The 24,313-nt window shown below is 37.7% G+C and overlaps 1 protein-coding gene and 1 long non-coding RNA gene across 8 annotated transcripts in view, besides 1 other annotated feature; one reads left to right on the forward strand and one right to left on the reverse strand.

Annotated features, from left to right (window-relative positions):
• The window catches only part of CD163 (CD163 molecule), a 32,967-nt gene extending 20,482 nt beyond the window's left edge, over positions 1 to 12,485 (reverse strand). For 6 of the 7 annotated variants that reach the window (NM_001370146.1, NM_001370145.1, NM_203416.4 and 3 more), the window contains exons 1-6: positions 12,353 to 12,485; positions 11,186 to 11,272; positions 9,847 to 10,170; positions 7,576 to 7,896; positions 5,521 to 5,841; positions 3,789 to 4,109 (exon numbers count right to left, since the gene is read on the reverse strand). In NM_001370146.1, coding sequence (NP_001357075.1) covers positions 3,789 to 4,109; positions 5,521 to 5,841; positions 7,576 to 7,896; positions 9,847 to 10,170; positions 11,186 to 11,272; positions 12,353 to 12,398 — 1,420 coding nt within the window. In that variant the 5' untranslated portion in view covers positions 12,399 to 12,485. The remainder of the gene's footprint in view (positions 1 to 3,788; positions 4,110 to 5,520; positions 5,842 to 7,575; positions 7,897 to 9,846; positions 10,171 to 11,185; positions 11,273 to 12,352) is intronic. The other variant, NR_163255.1, reaches the window with a different exon arrangement.
• LOC124902870 (uncharacterized) lies at positions 1,899 to 3,962 on the forward strand. Its single transcript, XR_007063197.1, has 2 exons — positions 1,899 to 2,116; positions 3,736 to 3,962. It is a non-coding gene; the product is annotated as an uncharacterized LOC124902870 (long non-coding RNA).
• Positions 6,256 to 6,757: an enhancer, noted in NCBI's record as "NANOG hESC enhancer chr12:7650144-7650645 (GRCh37/hg19 assembly coordinates)". NCBI's record gives its function as "activates a minimal SCP1, AML or CMV promoter by ChIP-STARR-seq in primed H9 embryonic stem cells {active_cell/tissue: H9 hESC(primed)}" and the evidence as "EXISTENCE:reporter gene assay evidence [ECO:0000049][PMID:30033119]".

A 24,313-nucleotide genomic window follows, 5' to 3' on the forward strand; every position in this document is an offset into this window, starting at 1 on the left:
TGGAGACTCCATCCTCAGCCTTTATTTCGTGAATCTGCTAGTAACATGTTAATCTATCCTATGGGTCGCTTTGCTTATATCGTTACTCTTTAGACATGGATAGAATATTGGAAATGTATCCCTTTAATGGATTTTTTTCTGCTAAGTCTCTGACTGTGTTTTTACATAAAAACCATTAAGTAAATTTTTGCACCTGGATTTAGCACCATTGATCAACAACTACAGTTTTCCCCTGGCATAAGTAACTGAATCTGTTTTTCTTTCTTTTTCTAGAAAAATAAATAGATCTACAAAGAGCTTTAACATAATTAGAGACATAATTAACTAGAATTACTTCCTTTTGTTTAGTGATAAATAAAATATACAATTATGATTTAAAGAAGCTTTAATGTATTTTCAACATTTAATGCTTTTCAGACTCTGAAGAAGTATAGATCATCATAATCTCAGAATTATTTCTCCATCCTAAGTTAAAAGACAGCATAGCTCAAATGAACTGTTTCTTAAGGTCAGATGTCCTCTACAGTACATACACAGACATCACAAACAAAATGTCTGAGATTCAAAGTAATTTTGTGGCCAAAATTTCCTAGACCTTTTTCTGTCAACAATTTATCTTAAATTGTTTCCAATTCTCCTGCTTAGTTGAATTCTCCTGGTTCTTTTAAGCTGTATAGCCCTGTACTATATAAAAGTTAAACAATTTAAACAGATGATCAAATTCGTAGCTTGAATTTGGCAGGCACAGAGACAGCATATCATCATTGACAGAGACAGTATGTCATCATTGAAAGTATCAAGTAAATAAAGAAACAAAAGTACAAACTATATTACTAACAAAACATGTAAAAAGCTAAAAACCAAGGCCCCCAACATAAGTAGAAGAACTTCCAAAACCTACAGCAATATAACAAAAGAGTTTGTAAAAGGAAACAAAAAGTGCACATGGCAAATAGCAAACAAAAATACAGCTCTGTGAAGTACGGAGCCCACCTTAAGTTGCAAATTTATGTTATTCATGATTTCTATTATACACATCTGAATAGAATCCTGAATAATTTAGAACATGTTACCATAAGTAAGGTATTCTAGTAATGCAACCTAAAATATGGGTGTGGTTGAATGGAGTTGATGGGCAGAATGCATTAATGACTCAGGTGTGAGAGGCTAAAAACCTAAGGAGTCTTACACATGGTAAAATATTTGGGTAAGCCTCACTTTGAAAAGAAAACCGTGTGCTCACTGATGCTTAAAAAATGCAGAATTTATTGGGCAAAGTACAAGAAACAAAACTACAAAAAATCAGAATATTTGCATGACGTGGATTCTCCTTGCCACTTTTAGCATTTACAAGAAAGATGAATTCAGACTACAAGCAGTCAGAATGCAAGCAGAAATGGGAGGAGAAATATCAATTTTATAAGGGGGTATGGTCTGCCTGCAGGTGTTGTATATTGTTAATCAAGAGTCCTATAATTTGGAATTGAAGAATTGAAGAAAAAACTCTAAGTATCCTGTCCCCCCAAATTGAGGTGGTGGTAAAACTGTAGCCTTGTCAGAAGATAAAATTGATACTCCAGATACAAAGGCAATGAGTCTACCGGCAAAGACGGAATTTAGGTCTTGTCCTTCCTCCCAAACCCACAGTTTCAAACGGCCTTAAGGCAGTGGTCAATAATTAAAGAGAAGGGCTGGTCACAGCATAGATCAAAGTATATTTATATGCTCTTGGACTATAGTTACTTTCAGATGGCATTGGGTTATAAAGCAAGTAGACTAGAAGCTTAGTAACCTTGGAAAGAACTTTTTTGTTGAATTTGAGGGCAGCTGACATCAGCCCTTGATTAGTCAATCTTTAATCCAAAGGTCCCTAAACCAATATTAGCAGAAAGTGGGTTGTGAAAGGTGTGCTGTCCTTAGATAGAGATACTCTCCAAACCAAACTTGGATGTAACTGTGAAGAATAATGTGCCAGGAAGAACTGCCCTGAGAGCAACACTGGGGCCCATGAAGGACAGCGGACAGAAGACACCTTCTCAGAGGCCAGCACTTCGTCTACCAGATTGGCTTTCCAAGGAACTCACTGAGCTGCGGGGTGGCTTATCCTTCCTGTCCGGTAGGATTTGATACTTACTGCAGCAAATCTATTCTGGATGTTTCTTGGTGACAACAGAGACACCAAAACAGCCTTAAACTGCTTATCTATTTGACTAATTTTAAATGAGAAAAAGTGAACACTGTCTTTCTTCAGTCACTATTATTTGTTTCTCTTTTAGATACAGCAGAACTTAATGCTAATCAATGTAAAATACAATTAATAAGAAAATATACAAACCATTATAAATTTAGAAGGAAAATCTATAACCTAAAATATTTATATTAGTAAATCAGAAGAAATAAAACTTAAGATTCAACTCAAGAAGTTGGGGGCCAAAAAGAAATCAAACTTTAGGAAATCTGAAGAGAATTATTAGAAAGAAAAGTAAATTTTAATGAATTAGAAAGGAAATAAAAGTAACATTAATTTTTTAAAATCCAAATAATGGTTTTTTAAAAAAAAATTTAGGTAAAAGAATGGCTAACCTTGTCAGGTAAAAAATTAAAAGAATAAATGAATACACACGGTAATAAATTATAAGAAATGTTATAGATATGGAAGTAATTTCAGACAGCTCTTTAAATACTGATGTGAAATTTGATCAAGAAATTTTACTAAGTGAATACTTCAGGTACAAAACAATTTATACAACATGCCACCATTTGGATAATGAAAGCAAATGATAGCTATATATAGATTTGTTTGTATTTTCTTGTATTTACATGAAATATCTCAAATAATATATAAATATTCCAACCACATAAGTTGTCTGTGAGGAAAAGAATTGGATAGTAGTGGGGGAAGAGTTTACACTTTTTTATTTTGAAGTTTAAACCATGTGATTATATTGCCTGGTCCAGAATATTTTTTAAAAAGTAATATAGAAATTCAAATTTATATCTTAAATGATTGCCTTTTTTCAATCGGAGGATAATTTCTACTTAACTAGAGGTAAGCACCATTTGTAACATCAGGGAAATGCCCCTCACTGCATGCCTAGGTTGGGAGGTATCTGGAGCCATATTGTTGGTTAGAGGACATGCAGCACGTACAAGTTTCCATTCTGTGAGGTCTCTACATGTTTAATGGTTTTCTTGTACACTGTGTTTTCTAAAGCCTTTTTGTTGCATGAGTAAAAGTTACATTTACTTTAGAGTTATTTAAAAAGCATCACTTTTCAACAAAGTTAACATTTGTATAAATATAATTAGCATAAAATACTAAAGATTATCCACAAACCTAACCAGTTTACAACTCATTTTTGAGCTTTTTAAAGAGGTTGCAGTGAAATATTCACAGGTTTTCCAAAAAAAAAGAAAATTCTTTCACAGTACAATAGAGGGAGCTGAAGGTTATGTCAGTTTATCTAACATGGTTATTTTTTAAATCTTTTGGTGACATCCTGTGAAAGAAATATTGAATTCTATTTTTTAAATTTTAATCCTCCTTAATCTTATACCTCTATTGATCTAAAAATTACTCAAAAACCAAAGTGAGCAAAACCCAAACACTTCTATCTAAAGTGCAACATGAATTGTAAACTTATCTGACTCTCCCAGTGGAATTTGTGTAGATATTTCCTGGTTTCTTGAGAGTGATCTAGTCATAAGGACCAATGTTTCTTTTCAATTTCAAAGGTAGTACTGGAAATTTACACCCTTCTTCTTAACAAGTTGATTGAAAGTCATACCTGAGCAGGTAATTTTGGCTTCTTCATAGTGATCACAGGTAAGTCCACCCCATTGCCAGTTCTTGCAGTCCCAAAGAGAAGTTTCATTTCCGTTACAGCTACTTAGAAACAGCCATGTGTTTGTTGCCTGGATTTTGGAGTACACTTGATAAGATGTTTTGAGTGCAGATCCACATCCCAGCTGCCTGCAAACCACATCAGCTTCTTTCAGTCCCCAGCCTCTGTCACACACCTTCCCTAACAGTCTCTGAATCTCCACCTCAACTGTCCCAGCACAGCGGCTGCCTCCACCTCTAAGTCTTAGCTCCAGATCTGATCCATCTGCAAAAGAAACATAAACTTAAACCATCGATACATATGGAGGTTAGCTTCCAGAGGATTTTTTTTTGTCTTTTTTCTTCTCTGATACTGATGCATTGAAAATTATAGGTAACTTATTTCCTGACTTTTTAAGAAACAATAATATAGACCATAAATTTTTGTTAGAAATGGGACTGTAGTTTCAAGGGTTGATAAAAATTGTCAATGGCAGAAAGATATGAGCAATTCAGCTTTAAAAGAGATTCCTCAAAAAGTGGGTGAAGGGTATGAACAGACACTTCTGAAAAGAAGGCATTTATGCGGACAACAAACATATGAAAAATAGCTTATCAACAATGGTCATTAGAGAAATGCAAATCAAAATCACAATGAGATACCATCTCATCCCAGTTAGAATGGCGATCATTAAAAAGTCTGGAAACAACAGATGTTGGCAAGGATGTAGAGAAATAGGAAAGCTTTTACACTGTTGGTGGGAGTGTAAATTAGTTCAACCATTATGGAAGACAGTGTGGTGATTCCTCAAGGATCTAGAACTAGAAATACCATTTGACCCAGCGATCCCATTACTGGGTATATACCCAAAGGATTATAAATCATTCTACTATAAAGACACATGCACATGTATGTTTATTGCAGCACTATCTACAATAACAAAGACTTGGAACCAACCCAAATGCCCATCAATAATAGACTGGATAAAGAAAATGTGGTACATATACACCATGGAATACTACGCAGCCATAAAAAAGAATGAGTTTATGTCCTTTGAAGGGACACAGATGAAGCTAGAAACCATCATCCTCAGCAAACTAACACACAAGAACAGAAAACCAAACACTGCATGTTCTCACTCATAACTGGGAGTTGAACAATGAGAACACACGGACACAGGGAGGGGAACATCACACACTGGGGCCTGTCAATGGGTGGGGGGAAAGGGGAGGGAGAGCATTAGGACAAATACCTAATGCATGGGGGGTTAAAACCTAGATGACAGGTTGATACGTGAAGCAGACCACCATGGAACATGTTTACCCATGTAACAAACCTGCACATTCAACACATCTATCCCAGAACTTAAAGTAAAAAAATAAGTAAATTAAAAAAATTTAAAAACAGATTCCTAGGAAATTTTGTCTCTCTGAGCTCCAGGTAGATTCTGAGTTTGAAGTGTGCTCCATAAAAGCAGTCTGAGTAATTATTACAGAGAATGCCGTCAGACAACCTTCCAAACTAGTTGAATAAAGAATGTGTCAAAGATTACAGGTATAAAGGAATTCCCAGCAAGGAATTTACTAGGCATTTCTACTTCTTAAGGAGCACGTTCCTACTCTTAAGGAGCACAGGACTTTCCGTTTCTGCTTTTCTTTTTGTTTAGTGTTTTGGTTTTGGTTTGGTTTTAACTTACCAGAACATGTCACGCCAGCATCTTCATTGTGATTGCAATAATGCTTTCCCCATTCATGGTGTTTACATTGCCAGATAGCAGGTTCATGTCCCTGGCAAGAAACGCTGTCAAGCCAGATGTGTCCAAATCCCTTACTGGCGTTAACTCGACCAATGGCTGTGACGGCAGTTGGACATCCCAGTTGCTTGCATGCCACAGCAGCATCGTAACTGTCCCAGCCGTCATCACATATTGTCCCCCATTCTCCTTGGAATCTCACTTCTAATCTTCCTGAACATTCAGTGACTCCATCTACCAGTCTCAGGCTCAGATCTGCTCCCTCTGTAACAGAGACACACAACAGGTCTGCGATAAGGAAGCAAGAACATGAGACTATAAATAGCTATACCTGAGATGAGTTAAGGAAAAGGGGAGAGATATAAGTGGAGACAGAGAAAACTGTGATGTACTGTACTACCACTGGAAATCATTCAAGATGGAAGGAGGAGTGGATCAGGCAAGAAGATGGGACATCTCAGTATAGACAGCATATACTACAGGAAGTGTTTCTAACAGGAGATACAGGGACTGAATTTCATCTAGAGACCTGCTATTTGACCACCACAGAGTTCTTGTTAGAACTGTTTACTTTTTCTGGTTAAAATATATTTGCATGTGTTTAGGTGACTCCCTCATCCTTCAGTTTGCCTCCATACTTAGCAATCCCTTTTGCCTCTGACTGCATTCTCCATTGATACTACCTAGCCTGTGTTGTACACCTGAACCTGTTGTGACCACTTCCTTAGTTTAAAAGCAGAGCAAAGAGAAAGGAGGCTTCAGTACTACAATTTTCACCTTCCCCAAATCAATATTCTTCAAAGAACAGACGTTGATTCTGAAGAATATTCTGTAATAAATTAAACTGGTTGTTTCCTCTGGCAGTTTCCGTTTTCATTCCCACAATGTTATTCATTGTGGGATTGTGATTCGTCAGCATGTGCTAACTGGGGGCCTAGAGAAATGTTGATGGGTAAAAGAGAATGGAAGGTACAGTCTGTGTTTTTTCTACTCCAAATTCTTCACATTCTTAACCTAACAAAATCTATCTTTCTTGTAGGAGTTCCATTCATTGTGGTTCAGGCTATAGCTGATCACATTGTTCAACAAGAAAAAGCTTGTTCAAGACATGCAGAAAGAGATAGAACCCAGATGACATTGTTCAAGAACCTGAATCCAACCATGCATGAGGCTAACTATACCCTCTGGATTTCCCAGTTTTGTGAGCCAGTATTCTCTTCTTTTTAAACAAGTTTGAATGGAAGTTCCTTTATTTACACACACACACACACACACACAGAGAGAGAGAGAGAGAGAGAGAAAGGGATCTGGTGAAGATAGGGATTTTTTACTCTTATTTTCCTAAGTGTTCTCTGGGGTTCAAGACACACTCAATCTCCTTTTATACTAAGAATTCAACAGAAAAACGAAGAGTGGTATCTCTGCACACACAAACGATTTTCCCCGCCCCCAGTCTGAGTATACAACGTGAAAGTCTCTAGACAGATACAATGCATATCTAGTATAAATAAAGTTTTAATGAGAAACCAATATTGATTTTTAACAAGTGATTCGATTCTGTGAACTTGAAAAATGATTTGGGAAGGAGTGGGTTAATGAGGCTAATGAGGAGGCTTTTGTGGATTAGATGATAACTGGAGTGGTTTGGTCATAAAACTTCATAGTGCAAAATATCCTAGTAAAGCCCTTCCTTCTTTCCTTTTTCCCCTCTTTTTCTTTTCGGTCTCTCCCTTTCTTTATGGGCTTTTCCTAAACACTTTCTTCTTTTCTTATGACCTGGATCTCAGTTTCACTATGCACTTCCCTAACCTATTTCTCCTAATTTCAGTTAAGGTAAAAAGTCCACAGGTATCAGAACTGGAACCTGAAGTTAGGTTAAAATGCGGTGACAAAAGAAGCAGACTTCATTATGTTCTTAAGAGTTCAGGCTCTTAAGATTTATTACCCCTTTCTTTTGTCCTCTCCTGGAGAATAGAATGAGCCAAGATCAGTCCTTACTTGAGCAAATCACTCCAGCATCCTCAGCATGATCACAGTTATGCTTTCCCCATCCTTGATGTTTGCAGTTCCAGAGAGCTGACTCATTTCCGTTGCATATAAGATCATCAAACCAGATTGGTCCAGAGCCTTCTCCAAAATTAGATGAACCAGAGAAACTGACAGCACTTCCACATTCAAGTTGTCTACAAATGACAGATGCATGATCTATGTTGAAGTTATCATCACACACTGTTCCCCACCGTCCTTGGAATTTGATCTCTATTCTTCCAGAACACATATTCCCTCCACGCGTCAGCCTCATTTCCAAATTGGATCCATCTGGAGCAGAGAAAAGACCAGAGTTCAGAAGTTACATTCATTTAGAAGTGATTTTAGAAAAGAAGTTTCCTCTGGACACTTGGGATTTTATGTTGTCCTTAAAATGGTGCCTGATTTTGGACATTGCCCAGCTCCACACGGTAGAGAATTTTAATATGTTAAAATCTAGGAAGCAATTAGGATTTTTATCTATATCTACTTACAAAGGAAAATGTTTACAGGTTAAAGTTTTTAAACTTTCTGTTTTGTTTTGTTTCCATCTATTACTAGGACAGATGTAAATACTCTTTTTTGTACAGAAATAGATAAATTCGACTCAAGTTATTTAAATTTGACTCAGGTTAAAGCTTTAAGTGTATAAATTTCAAAAAGCAAATTGATTAACTCCACTGGTAGTTATAAAACAACAGAAAAAAAGAGCTAAAAGTACTACACTGTTTTAGCTAAACAGCCAGTTCTATACACAGCAATAATTATGATAAGAGCCTGCTAAAATTTATGATAATTTTAAACTTTGCAGTAGATGTTACTTTTGTTATTCCCCATTTCACACCTCCCATAGTGGTTAAAAATAAGAGGAAAGAAGGAGGAGAAGGAGGAGAAGGAAGAGGAAGAGGAAGCGGAGAAAGAAGAAAGAGAACTGAGTCACCAAGAGAACTGAGCCATGAGGATCTTCAGCACCTGTTACATACCAAACAGTGTACCAGTAGTTTTACATGTATTATATCATTGAATCCTCAGAAACTGAAGTTTAGAGAGATTTGACAACTTGCACAAAATCACAGGATATTAGCTATGTGAAAATTTATTTCAGCATTTTTCTAGATGCTACTGTGTGTTTCTCTTATCACATCATGATGCCTGGACAGAGATAAGTCCTTTCTATAGTCAGTCCTATGGGAGAGAGAGAGGCTGGGAGGTGAGAGGATTGTATAAAAATTAATGAAACAGGCCAGTCACGGTGGCTCACACCTGTAATCCCAGGATTTTGGGAGGCCGAGGCAGGTGGATCACCTGAGCTCAGGAGTTCGAGACCAGCCTGGCCAATATGGTGAAACCCTGTCTCTACTAAAAATACAAAAATCAGCCAGGTGTGGTGGCAGGTGCCTATAATCCCAGCTACTCGGGAGACTGAGGCAGGAGAATTGCTTGAACCCGGGAGGTGGAGGTTGCAGTGAGCCGAGATAGCGCCATCGCACTCCAGCCTGGGGGACAAGAGCGACAATTCGTCCCAAAAAAAAAAAAAAAAAAAAGGAATGAAACAAACAAAAAGAAATGGGGATCCCAGGAATCTGAGTTGGATCAGAAATGTGCCCTTGGGATTTGTCAGCAGAAAGGCCTGACACATGACTTTCTCAGTTATTGTGGGGTCAATTGCAATAAAACATATGGAGATGTTTTGTAAATTAAAAGCACAATGTAAATGAAATGACTAGCATTGCACACTGGTCAAGCAATTATACTTTCAAAGAATCCTTCCTACAACAAGAAATGATGTATTAATGCTAGAAATAGTTGTTTTTTGATTTACTAAGTTGATTATCAGTTAATGGACAAAATGGTAATAATTTGTGGGTCAACATATCAAAACAAGTCACTGGGAAAGAACAAGGAAATAACTTAGATGTCATGATATTTTTATGATATAGGAATAGTAGGTTACAGTAAGCTTACTGAATATCAAATTTAAACCACCACTTCTTGGCTTTTTGGCTAAGATCATGTATAAAATTGAAGCCAGTCACCTCCTCATTAATCACAGTGTTCAGAATTTTTTTTATTAAAAAAAAATGACCTCGTGTTTTGTGGTTTTCTAGCAATGGATGGAGTACTTTTATACATGAACTAGATTGCTTACAGGAAAGTGGCTTATTCTAGGTTTTAACCCATCTACATATTTTTTTCCCACCAAGGATTTTGTGTTGAGGCTTTGACTAATGCAAGTCTTACCTGAGCAGGTCACTCCAGCATCTTGTTGGTGAGTACAGTTACTATGCTTTCCCCATCCATCATGTTTGCAATCCCAAAGAGCTGACTCATTCCCACGACAAGAAACATGATCCATCCAAATGCGTCCAGAACCTGCACTGGAATTAGCCCATCCAGGGGCTTTGATAGCAGTTGGACATCCCAGCTGGTTACAAATCACAGAGACCGCTTCCATGCTCCAGCCATTATTACACACCGTTCCCCACTCCTCCTGGACTTTCACTTCCACTCTCCCGCTACACTTGTTTTCACCATCCACTAGCCTCAGCTCCTTGTCTGTTCCTCCTGCAACAATGGATTAAGACAGTAATTGGCCAAGGTCGCAAAGAGCAAGTAGAAAATTATTTTTTTACATTACTTATTTATCCTTCAAACTCAGATTTGAGAACCATCCTAGTCCTATCCATGGTAAAACAGAAGAATGTTATTTCACAGTCATTCAAATATAAGTATCAGTATCACTGGTTTCAAATTAAGCAGTGCTATATGACCAGTAAAGGTAAGTAACACAATAGTGTTTAATAGCTTTATTTTATGGCTGGATAGCCTTAATAGTGGCAATTTATATAATTCCTGTGAAGCATTTTCGAGTTAAATAAGATGCTACAAAACGTTATGGGGATGAACTTTTTACATTTCTCCAAAATCCTAAGGTCGATAGAAAGAAGGCTGATAGAGAATTTATGAAGATGAAAAGACTAGTTGTAAGAAATTTAACTCTTATTTCATACGTATATGTAAAATAGCATAAATCTTAAAAACGCTAGACTGAAACTTATCTAAAATTAAGATGGAGATATTTTCTGCTATTTTCTACCATAAAATAAACCTCTTTGTACTCTCTTCCCATCCCCAGATGATAGATGATCTCAGTTGCCTCCTTGGCATTATTTTAGCTTTATGTAGGAATCTGGTCCCACCAACCTGGCATCTCTCAATACATTTTTAGATAAATTTTGGCATTTGAATTTACTAATGTGTTTCCCAAATTCACTTTTGTTTTAATGATTCTGAAGTTTCTCCTCCTTTGTATTCTTTCCTATTTTTCAGTTCAACATTATTTCTAATCTTTAAGTAAAATTCATTTCTCTCCTGTGAGTTTATTTCATTTGGTGAGGAACCATGCTAATATTTTGGTTAGATTTTTATTGTGTGCTTTTAATAATATCTGATCCTTTGAATACATGGAGCATGTCACCTAGTTTTTAGATGCTACTTGGCCTTCAGAAAAATTGTTTGCCTTTTAACTGTTCTTGTCAGAGTGGGCTAAGGCTGTAAGTAAATTTGACAAAGTACTCACCAAGAGAACTGGTGACAAAACAGGCACTGAGAAGTAAGACCACAGTAATGGTGAAGGGACTCAAGTTGACAAAATGTCTTCTGAAGTCTGTGAAAAAGAAAAGAGGGCAAAAGTAGCATCTTCCCAAAAAGAGACTTTGGAGAAGATAGATGGTTTCAGAGGTTAATTAACAAAGAAGCTCAAACCAAGACAGAAAACTCTTCATTCTAAATTGCAAGGCAGGCAGAAAACATTCATACCCAGGCTCATATAGTTTCAGTGAAATGGTTTTGAAAATGTTCATGTTTATAGGCAACCTAGAGGTGACGGATTAGCAGAAGGTTGGTGGTGGAAACGAGAATTGCAAGGTCAACCCTTAAAACCTGGAAAATGGAAACAACATCAATGAAACTTAGTAGTGGACAATTCTCCCAGCAGGCACAGGGAAGGTATCCTGAGATTTCTCTATTCCCTAACCACCTTGATATTCAATTATGGATGCCCCCATCTTTAAGACTACCTAGCCGCACTGATAGAGGATAAGTTCCATGAGTAAACGAATTATATCTATCATGTTCACCATAATTTCACCAGTACCTGGCTTGATGCTTGCCAAATAGTAGCTAGCAGAACAATACCTAAGTGATGATATCCATATCTGAAAAACTCAAATATTAAATCTTGTCATCTCTACCTGTATCCTTATCACATAATACACTCTTTAATGCTGTTATTACTCTCATATCTTCTCGTTACTCTAACCCAACACTAATTTAAAACTAAAAATGCTAAATGATTTTAACATGTCCAAATAAGTCTTAAAATAGATAACTCACTTATCAGAGTAGATAACTTTCTTTATGTAATTAACTCTCTATCAATATTCCTTTCTGCATATTCTATCTTTTCTAACAACTATTTTTTCATACTCAGTACATTTCAGTTAACTTTAGTTCCTGACTTAATTTCACCTCAGCAGTTTTACAAAATTAATGCCGACTCTGATTCCCATATCACATCTTCAATTTTGAATCTATGGCAGATCAAAGGTGCTGCCATATAAGCCTATGTCCTTTTTCCACTCCTTACTCTCCTGATGCCAATCACTTTTAAATCACATCCATTGACTGTCATAATAATTACATACCCCATTAAAGGGGAAATGTAGAATAAATGAGAAGCTTTTACCAGCAGATCCAGAGTCTTCAAGTAGCACCATTCTGAGTTTGCTCATTCCAAAGATTTATAACTTCAATGATTCCTAAATCTTCTTGTATTATTCCCTAGAAATGTTCTTCTAAAGAAAACAACTAAGAATTCTAAAAATCACTTCACTTTCATGAAAATGAAAAGGCTACATATGGAGGCGGAGTCAACTCAAAAAGGGAAGTCATTGAAAGAGCTGAGGTTCCATTTCATACTCATGTTTTCTTCAATATAGCACATGAAACAACCAAAGGAAATTGGGAAACACTTCCCACAGATTTCGAAAAATTAGAGGAAATACTAACTCATATGCTGCTGTTGCTGAATTAAATATTTTACATTTTTGAACTTCATTTTGGACAAATATATAAGACACAAAAAATTACTAATTGTCATGTAGAAAAATTATGTAAAAAACTAAAGCAAAACAGGCAAAACATAATTAAATAACATTTTATCATATGCACTTTTAATTTTATTTCCATAATCAAATGTGTCTAATGAGTAATTTTGTGTAAGTTGTTGAGACACAGCATTTGTCATTTCTTTTCTAATGGGATGAAGTACACCAAGAGAATTAGCCATGACTATTACTGATATTACAAATGGTGAAACAAAAATTAGCAACACATGATTTTAGCTCTATATAACTCAGATTCAAGTAAGAGAAACACATATGATAACAACAATGAACATAAAGCTAAAGTGCAGTGTTAAAAATAATGGACAAAGTAGTCCTATCTATTGAGAGAAAGGAATGAACAGTCAGAAAACTATTTTCTCTGAGGACAGGCTTAAATTGTGTCCTAAAAGATGAGAAAAACATTGCCAAAGGGACAAATGATAAAGGAGTTTAAGGCATAAAAAATAGCACATACAAATGAATATTTGTATATAAAAACATATAAGCTCAAAAGAACTACTAATAGTTCATCATGGCATACATATTGTCAGGTGTTAGTGATGGGCCTGAAATGGGGAATTAAAGAGCAACTCCAGCCTTCCAGAGAGACATTCACTAGAACCCAGTCAACAAAGGCACCCCAGTTTTCTTCCACTTCTCAGGCATGCCAAATCTCTCCCTGCCTCATGGTATGTCATACATATTGTTCCTTCTGTGTTTACTGCCTCCCTACCCGTACCTTTCTCTAAGATAACTCTCACTCACGTATACTTTATTTCTCAGTTAAACCTCCCTTCACTAGGAGAAATAACTCTAACGCTGAAAGACCCCAGAAAATATGCACTCATGATAGCCTGTACTTATGAGGGTTGTCAATTATATATATATTTTTTTCCTTTTTTTAAATTATTATTATACTTTAAGTTTTAGGATACATGTGCACAACATGCAGGTTTGTTACGTATGTATACATGTGCAATGCTGGTGTGCTGCACCCATTAACTCGTCATTTAGCATTAGGTATATCTCCTAATGTTATCCCTCCCCCCTCCCCTGACCCCACAACCGTCCCTGGAGTGGGATGTTCCCCTTCCTGTGTCCATGTGTTCTCATTGTTCAATTCCCACCTATGAGTGAGAACATGTGGTGTTTGGTTTTTTGTCCTTGCGATGGTTTGCTGAGAATGATGGTTTCCAGTTTCATCCATGTCCCTACAAAGGACATGAACTCATCATTTTTTATGGCTGCATAGTATTCCATGGTATATATGTGCCACATTTTCTTAATCCAGTCTATCATTGATGGACATTTGGGTTGGTTCCAAGTCTTTGCTATTGCGAGTAGTGCCGCTATAAACGTACGTGTGCATGTGTCTTTATAGCAGCATGATTTATAATCCTTTGGGTATATACCCAGAAATGGGATGGCTGGGTCAAATGGTATTTCTAGTTCTAGATCCCTGAGGAATTGCCACACTGACTTCCACAATGGTTGAATTAGTTTACAGTCCCACCAACAGTGTAAAAGCATGCCTATTTCTCCACATCCTCTCCAGCACCTATTGTTTCCTGACTTTTTAATGATCACCATTCTAACTGGTGTGAGATGGTATCTCGTTGTGGTTTTGGTTTGCATTTCTCTGATGGCCAGTGATGATGAGCATTTTTTCATGTGTTTTTTGGCTGCATAAATGTCTTCTTTTGAGAAGTATCTGTTCATATCCTTCGCCAATTTTTGATGGGGTTGTTTGTTTTTTTCTTGTAAATTTGTTTGAGGTCATTGTAGATTCTGGATATTAACCCTTTGTCAGATGAGTAGGTTGCGAAAATTTTCTCCCATTTTGTAGATTTCCTGTTCACTCTGATGGTAGTTTCTTTTGCTGTGCAGAAGCTCTTTAGTTTAATTAGATCCCATTTGTCTATTTTGGCTTTTGTTGCCATTGCTTTTGGTGTTTTAGATATGAAGTCCTTGCCCATGCCTATGTCCTGAATGGTATTGCCTAGGTTTTCTTCTAGGGTTTTTATGGTTTTAGGTCTAACATGTAAGTCTTTAATCCATCTTGAATTAATTTTTGTATAAGGTGTAAGGAAGGGATCCAGTTTCAGCTTTCTACATATGGCTAGCCAGTTTTCCCAGCAACATTTATTAAATAGGGAATCCTTTCCCCATTGCTTGTTTTTGTCAGGTTTGTCAAAGATCAGATGGTTGTAGATATGCGGCATTATTTCTGAGGGCTCTGTTCTGTTCCATTGATCTATATCTCTGTTTTGGTACCAGTACCATGCTGTTTTGGTTACTGTAGCCTTGTAGTATAGTTTGAAGTCAGGTAGCGTGATGCCTCCAGCTTTGTTCTTTTGGCTTAGGATTGACTTGGGGATGTGGGCTCTTTTTTGGTTCCATATGAACTTTAAAGTAGTTTTTTCCAATTCTGTGAAGAAAGTCATTGGTAGCTTGATGGGGATGGCATTGAATCTATAAATTACCTTGGGCAGTATGGCCATTTTCATGATATTGATTCTTCCTACCCATGAGCATGGAAGGTTCTTCCATTTGTTGGTATCCTCTTTTATTTCATTGAGCAGTGGTTTGTAGTTCTCCTTGAAGAGGTCCTTCACATCCCTTGTAAGTTGGATTCCTAGGTATTTTATTCTCTTTGAAGCAATTGTGAATGGGAGTTCACTCATGATTTGGCTCTCTGTTTGTCTGTTATTGGTGTATAAGAATGCTTGTGATTTTTGTACATTGATTTTGTATCCTGAGACTTTGCTGAAGTTGCTTATCAGCTTAAGGAGATTTTGGGCTGAGACGATGGGGTTTTCTAAATATACAATCATGTCATCTGCAAACAGGGACAATTTGACTTCCTCTTTTCCTAATTGAATACCCTTTATTTTCTTCTCCTGCCTAATTGCCATGGCCAGAACTTCTAACACTATCTTGAATAGGAGTGGTGAGAGAGGGCATCCCAGTCTTGTGCCAGTTTTCAAAGGGAATGCTTCCAGTTTTTGCCCATTCAGTACGATATTGGCTGTGGGTTTGTCATAGATAGCTCTTATTATTTTGAGATACGTCCCATCAATAATTTATTGAGAGTTTTTAGCATGAAGCGTTGTTGAATTTTGTCAAAGGCCTTTTCTGCATCTATTGAGATAATCATGTGGTTTTTGTTTTTGGTTCTGTTTATATGCTGGATTACATTTATTGATTTGAGTATGTTGAACCAGCCTTGCATCCCAGCGAAGAAGCCCACTTGATCATGGTGGATAAGCTTTTTGATGTGCTGCTGGATTTGGTTTGCCAGTATTTTATCGAGGATTTTTGCATCAATGTTCATCAAGGATATTGGTCTAAAATTCTCTTTTTTGGTTGTGTCTCTGCCAGGCTTTGGTATCAGGATGATGCTGGCCTCATAAAATAATGAGTTAGGGAGGATTCCCTCTTTTTCTATTGATTGGAATAGTTTCAGAAGGAATGGTACCAACTCCTCCTTGTACCTCTGGTAGAATTTGGCTGTGAATCCACCTGCTCCTGGACTTTTTTTGGTTGGTAAGCTATTGATTATTGCCACAATTTCAGAGCCTGTTATTGGTCTATTCAGAGATTGAATTTCTTCCTCGCTTAGTCTTGGGAGGGTGTATGTGTCGAGGAATTTATCCATTTCTTCTAGATTTTCTAGTTTATTTGCGTAGAGGTGTTTGTAGTATTCTCTGATGGTAGTTTGTATTTCTGTGGGATCGGTGGTGATATCCCCTTTATCAATTTTTATTGCGTCTATTTGATTCTTCTTTCTTGTCTTCTTTATTAGTCTTGCTAGCAGTCTATCGATTTTGTTGACGTTTTCAAAAAACCAGCTCCCAGATTCATTAATTTTTTGAAAGGTTTTTTGTGTCTCTATTTCCTTCAGTTCTGCTCTGATTTTAGTTATTTCTTGCCTTCTGCTAGCTTTTGAATGTGTTTGCTCTTGCTTTTCTAGTTCTTTTAATTGTGACGTTAGGGTGTCAATTTTGGATCTTTCCTGCTTTCTCTTGTGGGTATTTAGTGCTATAAATTTCCCTCTACACACTGCTTTGAATGTGTCCCAAAGATTCTGGTATGTTGTGTCTTTGTTCTCGTTGGTTTCAAAGAACATCTTTATTTCTGCCTTCATTTCATTATTTACCCAGTAGTCATTCAGGAGCAGGTTGTTCAGTTTCCATGTGGTTGAGCAGTTTTGAGTGAATTTCTTAATCCTGAGTTCTAGTTTGATTGCACTGTGGTCTGAGAGACAGTTTACTATGATTTCTGTTGATGCAGTTTCTTCCTAGCCTTGATAGTCTTTACATTTTGTCATGTTTTGGCAGTGGCTGGTACCAGTTGTTCCTTTCTATGTTTAGTGCTTCCTTCAGGAGCTCTTTTAGGGCAGGCCTGGTGGTGACAAAATCTCTCAGCATTTGCTTGTCTATAAAGTTATTTCTCCTTCACTTATGAAGCTTAGTTTGGCTGGATATGAAATTCTGGGTTGAAAATTCTTTTCTTTAAGAATGTTGAATATTGGCCCCCACTCTCTTCTGGCTTGTAGAGTTTCTGCCGAGAGATCCGCTGTTAGTCTGATGGGCTTCCCTTTGTGGGTAACCCGACCTTTCTCTCTGGCTGCCCTTAACATTTTTTCCTTCATTTCAACTTTGGTGAATCTGACAATTATGTGTCTTGGAGTTGCTCTTCTCGAGGAGTATCTTTGTGGTGTTCTCTGTATTTCCTGAATCTGTATGTTGGCCTGCCTTGCTAGATTGGGGAAGTTCTCATGGATAATATCCTGCAGAGTGTTTTCCAACTTGGTTCCATTCTCCCCATCACTTTCAGGTACACCAATCAGACGTAGATTTGGTCTTTTCACATAGTCCCATATTTCTTGGAGGCTTTGTTTGTTTCTTTTTATTCTTTTTTCTCTAAACTTCCCTTCTCACTTCATTTCATTCATTTTGTCTTCCATCACTGATAACCTTTCTTCCAGTTGATCGCATTGGCTCCTGAGCCTTCTGCATTCTTCACGTAGTTCTTGAGCCTTGGCTTTCAGCTCCATCAGCTCCTTTAAGGACTTCTCTGCGTTGGTTATTCTAGTTATCCATTCATCTATTTTTTTTTCACAGTTTTTAACTTCTTTGCCATTGATTTGAATTTCCTCCTGTAGCTCGGAGTAGTTTGATCATCTGAAGACTTCTTCTCTCAGCTCGTCAAAGTCATTCTCCATCCAGCTTTGTTCCATTGCTGGTGAGGAGCTGCATTCCTTCGGAGTAGGAGAGGCACTCTGCTTTTTAGAGTTTCCAGTTTTTCTGCTCTGTTTCTTCCCCATCTTTGTGGTTTTATCTACTTTTGGTCTTTGATGATGATGATGTACAGAAGGGTTTTTGGTGCAGATGTCCTTTCTGTTTGTTAGTTTTCCTTCTAACAGTCAGGACCCTCAGCTGCAGGTCTGTTGGAGTTTGCTGGAGGTCCACTCCAGACCCTGTTTGCCTGTGTATCAGCAGCAGTGGCTGCAGAACAGCAGTGGCTGTAGAAGAGCGGATCTTGGTGAACTGCAAATGCTGCTGCCTGATTGTTCCTCTGGAAGTTTTGTCTCAGAGGAGCACCCGGCCATGTGAGGTGTCAGTCTGCTCCTACTGGGGGATGCCTCCCAGTTAGGCTGCTCGGGGGTCATGGACCCACTTTAGGAGGCAGTCTGCACATTCTCAGATCTCCAGCTGCGTGCTGGGAGAACCACTACTCTCTTCAAAGTTGTCAGACAGGGACATTTAAGTCTGCAGAGGTTACTGCTGTCTTTTTGTTTGTCTGTACCCTGCCCCCAGAGGTGGAGCCTACAGAGGCAGGCAGGCCTCCTTGAGCTGTGGTGGGCTCCACCCAGTTCGAGGTTCCCAGCTGCTTTGTTTACCTAATCGAGCCTGGGCAATGGCAGGCGCCCCTCCCCCAGCTTCGCTGCTGCCTTGCAGTTTGATCTCAGACTGCTGTGCTAGCAATCAGTGAGACTCCATGGGTGTAGGACCCTCCGAGCCATGTGCGGGATATAATCTCCTGGTGTGCTGTTTTTTAAGCCCATTGGAAAAGCGCAGTATTAGGGTGGGAGTGACCTGATTTTCCAGGTGCCCTCTGTCACCCCTTTCTTTGACTGGGAAAGGGAACTCCCTGACCTCTTGCGCTTCTCTAGTGAGGCAATGCCTCGCCCTGCTTCGGTTTGTGCACAGTGCGCTGCACCCACTATCCTGCACCCACTGTCTGGCACTCCCTAGTGAGATGAACCCAGTACCTCAGATGGAAATGCAGAAATCACACGTCTTCTGCGTTGTTCACACTGGGAGCTGTAGACCGGAGCTGTTCCTATTTGGCCATCTTGGCTCCACCCCTCCCAATTATATTTTTATATTTATTGTTTATCTTACTTGCTAGTCTTAAGATACCAGGATAGGAACTGTGTTTTTTTCAAAAAGATATCTACCAGTCCCTGCCAGATGCTAGGCTCAATATTACCTATTTTGTTGTTGTTGTTGACAATGTTGTTATTATTGCTGAGGTAAACAAGGACTACATGAAGAGGAGTTTTATATACCATGTTAAAGAATTATAATTTTACACTGTAGGCAAGTAATGACATTAAATAGTTTGAAACATGAGTATTAAATTGCTTTGTCTTTTACATATCTCATCTTGGTAGCAACTTTGAGGATGATTGGTGGCCAGGGTAAAAATGGAAATAAGAGCAAGATTAAATGCAGTGCAAGTGAATATTATAGCAAAAATCTAATAGAATAAGAGCCCGATTGAAAAGATATAGTAGAAAAATGGAAGAAATAGATTGGTGCAAAATTAAAAAGCTAGGTGAACAAGACATTTTTGCTTTTATTCAAAATGAAGAAACAGGAAGTGTGTTTACTGTCCCACCAGAAACAACTAAAAACAAAGCCAAACATGTGTAACAATGATTTTCAAGACACTGAAAATGAGGCAACAAGAAGAGTTGTTGCCTGGATCTCAAAGATAGTGATCCATGAGAGATGAGAAGCTAAGCTGAGTTTACTGCCTTGAGATAGTTTCCAGGCTACCATGGAATAGGAAACCCAGAGAATGATCAGAGGAGTCTCAGAGTTGGGAAGAAGCAGCTGAGAATCTGGGAGACTAAGGTGGCTAGAATTCACAGCAAATAGTCTCACAGAGGAGAAACTTGCAAGAAGAAAGAGAGAGAGAGAGAGAGTAGGGAGGAGGCAAGGAGAGAGAGCTGAATATCTGTAGAGTCCCCTTTGAGTATTCAGCTGAGTATTGTTAAGTGCATGCATGTGAGCAAATCACCTGAGCCTGGGGAAAGAATAATGAAAGGATTAGAGTTACACACAGGGCCAGGAAAAGTGACTGTTCACATGGAAAACTCACAAGTCATGGGGTATTGGGTAGAGTTCACAGATGAGTCTTACCACAGTGGTGGGAAATAAGTAGCCCTAGCTACTTGCTGATTAGATCCCACCTAACAAATTTTAAAGACAAGACCCAAAGAATCAAATTGTTTCCAAGAATATAACAACATTCTAGACTAAACGTTAGAATATCTAAAGCAATAAAAATAATTTAAAACTCAGCGAAGTTTAGTTTACAATGTCTGGAATTAAACAAAATATTACTTAGTGCTATGGTCTAAATGTTTGTGTCTCCTCAAAATTCATATGTTGAAATCCTAACCTCAAAGGTATTAGTAGGTAGGGCCTTTGGGAGATAATTAGGTCATGAGGGCTCTGCCTTCATGAATGGGGTTATTGCCCTCATGAAAGAGATCCCTGAGAGAAGACTGATCCCTTTTGCCGTGTGAAGTACAGCTAAAAAATGGTAATCTATAACCCTGGAAGTGGACTCTCACCAGACACTGAATCTGACAGCATCTTGATCTTGAACTTCCAGCCTCCAAAACAAAGAAATAAATTGCTGTTTATAAAACTCGGAGTCTATGTTGTGTAGTTTCTTTTTTGGGGAGTTGGGGAGAGTGCTGATTATAATCTCAAAACATGCAATTACAAATGCCATAATCCTAAATGTTAAAATCCCAAAGTTCAAAATCCCTAAAGATCAACATCTCTGAAATCTAAAAATTCCTAACATCAAAAATTGCAAAAATTACAATTCAGAATGTTGAAATTCTGAAAGTTGAATTCTGTGGAACAGATCAGTACATTTTTGGTTGCATACAGGATAGTTGCATTCTGTTGTTTACAACACGTTAGGCGGAACTATTCCCTTGGTATTGTCTTTATTTGGAAATTAAATATAGGTTAAGGAGATGCAATTAAGTATGGGTGCCAAGTTGACAAGGGGTGGATTTATAGACATAATTTTAGGTGTCAACTTGATTGGATTAAGGATTCTAGACACTTGATAAAGCATTATTTTTCATGTCTGTAAGAGTGCTTCCAGACACATCCAAAATAATGGATAAGATTAGTGTGTGAGTCTGAGTGGACTAGGTGGGGAAGATCTTCCCTCAGCGCTGGCCTGCATCAGGGATCCAGAGAGAACAAATACAGAAGGAAAATTGGTCTCTCTTTGAGAGCTGGGCCAGACTTTTCTTGTGCTACTTTGGACAGCAGAACTGCAGGCTCACTGGCCTTTCGACTTCAGCACTTACATCTGGAGTGGCTCCAGAATGCTAAGACTTTTGGTCTCAGACTGAGAGTTACACCATGGGCTCCCCTGGTGCTCAGGCCTTTGGACTTGGGCTGAGTCATGCTACAGTCATCCCATGGTCTTCAGCTTACAGAAAGCCTATCATGGGACTTTTCAGCCACCAAAATTATGCAAGCCAATTCCCCTAATAAATTCTCTCTCAATGTCTATATATATATATGTCTTACTGGATCCGCCTCTCTGAAGGACCCTGACTAATACAGATTTGGTATTGGGGAAGCCAAATTGATTCCTTCTTACGGTATTTTATGACACAGTGAAAGAGACTGTGAAATTTTACTCTTGTAAAATGTTGTGATTAAGTGTGCAAGTCTAGATAATGGCAAAAGATAAAGTTTAAAAGCTAATTGTTATTGGTGCTGTAAAAACAGAAAATAGGTTAATTTCAATAGCAGTGTTGGACAGTATATTCTTACAAATCTTATACCGTGTGATTCTATTTATATAGAATTCTGGAAAGTGAAAATTAATCGACTGTGACTAGATGCAGTGGTTGCTTAGAGATGGATGGGAAGGAGTGCAAGGAAAGAATCACAATGAGGGGTAATCATGATGAAGTTTTTTGGAGTAATTGATATGTTCATTGTCTTTATTGTGTTGATAATTTCACAGGTATACACATACGTCAAAACTAAACTAATGGAACACTTAAATATGTGCAGCTTATTGTATATTAACTATGCTCCAATAAAGATGTTTTTAAAAATCTTTGTGAGCTATTATTGGTGGAGGACAAAAGAAAGAGAGAAGTCCACCAGCAGCTCAATCTTTAAGATTTACAACAATTGTGAAGTCAAACCCTCCAAAAAGGGCCAGGCTTGGGGGAAGCTGAAGACACAAAAATGTTGAGTGGACCTGTAGGTTAGCAGATGATTTACTCAGAAATTTGTGACATTTTTATGTGGGCATATTCATGGGGAATGGGAAAAAGAAGAGGAATAAATAAAGGGAATGGTATCAGATTTTGAAACTTGTTCTGAATTTTGGAATAGATTTGAGGCTTGTTAGTAATCTCATCGTGTCCTTTTTCAGAATAAAGTCACTAATTTTGTCAAAGTCAGATAGGTTTTTAATAGTGAAATAAGTTTCTGTATTGCTGCATTGAAAATCTCTACATATAAATTGCAGGTGTATGGTATTATGTAAATTCTGGGACAAGCCCATGCCTTTTTCTTACTCAGTTTTCTACCACCCAACAAGACAGAATGTGTGCTCTCTTCTTAATTTGTCCAATATATAGCCTCTTTAGAATGCTGAGCAAACTCAAGTTCAACTTTTTTTCCTTAGGTTCAACCAATCACTGAATAACATTATTATTATTTTCTTTTTTTCTTATATACAGTAAACTCTAGAGAGTTTACCAAAAAAGAAAAAAAAAGAAAAAGAAAAAGAAAAAAAAAAGCTGTTAGAACTAATAAATGAACTCGGTAAATTTGCAGGATACAAAAAACATTTTTTAGGGCTGCATTTCTTTATTTTATTTTTATTATTATTATTTGAGACACAGTCTCTCTCTGTCGCCCAGGGTGGAGTGCAGTGGCATGATCTTGGCTCACTGCAACCTCTGCCTCCCGGTTCAAGTGATTCTCTTGCCTCAGCCTCTGAGTAGCTGGGATTACAGGCGTGTGCCACCACGCCCAGCTAACTTTTGTATTTTTAGTAGAGAGGAGGTTTCACCATGTTGGCCAGGCGGGTCTCAAACTCCTGACCTCAAGTGATCTGCTTGCCTCAGCCTCCCAAAGTTCGGGGATTACAGGCGTGAGCCACCGCGCCCAGCCCTGACTCCTCTTACTCTTTAATTAACTCAATTTTGTTCTTATCTCAGATTATTCCCCCTTACTATTCTAGTATGTTGAATACAACTTTAAGCTATGCATTTGGAAACTCAGTCATTTACAAGGAACATACAAAATGCGCACATTGGCATAATATGGCATATGCGTATTGCATATAATTCGTTCATTGTGGGCTGCTTATTGACTAATAGTTTTGATTTCATCATATTCTGATTTTTTTTGCCTGGTTCTAGTAATTGGATTTTTGTTTTGTTTATGCTTTGTGACAAAGTTTGTGTCAAGTTCCATTCCAGGAGTTTGTTTTATTTGATCTACTTATGCTTTACTTGCTGCCTTGACTATCTCTACAGATGAATGGGTGATTTATGACTGGGAGTCTTGCTTTCCCAAAAATATTTATGGAAATAGAACATAGAGTAATAAGGAAGACCCTGAAGGGTGGCAAGCAGAGTAGTGATATAATCGAATTTCTGTTTTCAACGATGACTCTGACTACGGTATAAAAGAGAGCTCACAAAAGGGCAAAAGTATATGTAATAATGCCTTATAGAAGGGTCATATAGTGTTTAGTGACAATGAGATTTGGTAGAAATGATGGGATGTAGAGGTGGACTCACCAGTGTTTAATTATTACTGGAATAAATGACTGCCTAACTAGCCAAATAAAGTATATAGATGTACCAATAATAATATTCCATTTCCCAAGGCTTATCATTGATTCAATTATGTCCACTTGAAATCCAAAAGTAGACGAAACAAAAAATAAATGCATATATGTGTCAACCTAAATAACAAACAGAGGCTTTCTAGAAGAAAATGATATTTATTCAGGAATAGGGCACTGCAATGAGAATACACGTGCCATCGTAAACTTGTGCATGTTCAGGGAAGAAAGACGAAGGTTTTTAAAGAAAAAATGAGGAGGATTACCTGATTATTTTGATATAATTATTCTTGGCTACAAAGATCAATAACAGGGGTGATACCAATTCAAGGTTAGACAGGAAATGGCTGGACAGATGTCCTTGCAGAAGTATTTTTGTGTGTGTA

The sequence above is a fragment of the Homo sapiens genome, chromosome 12, assembly GCF_000001405.40.
Source record: "Homo sapiens chromosome 12, GRCh38.p14 Primary Assembly".
NCBI classification, from domain to species: Eukaryota; Metazoa; Chordata; class Mammalia; order Primates; family Hominidae; genus Homo; species Homo sapiens.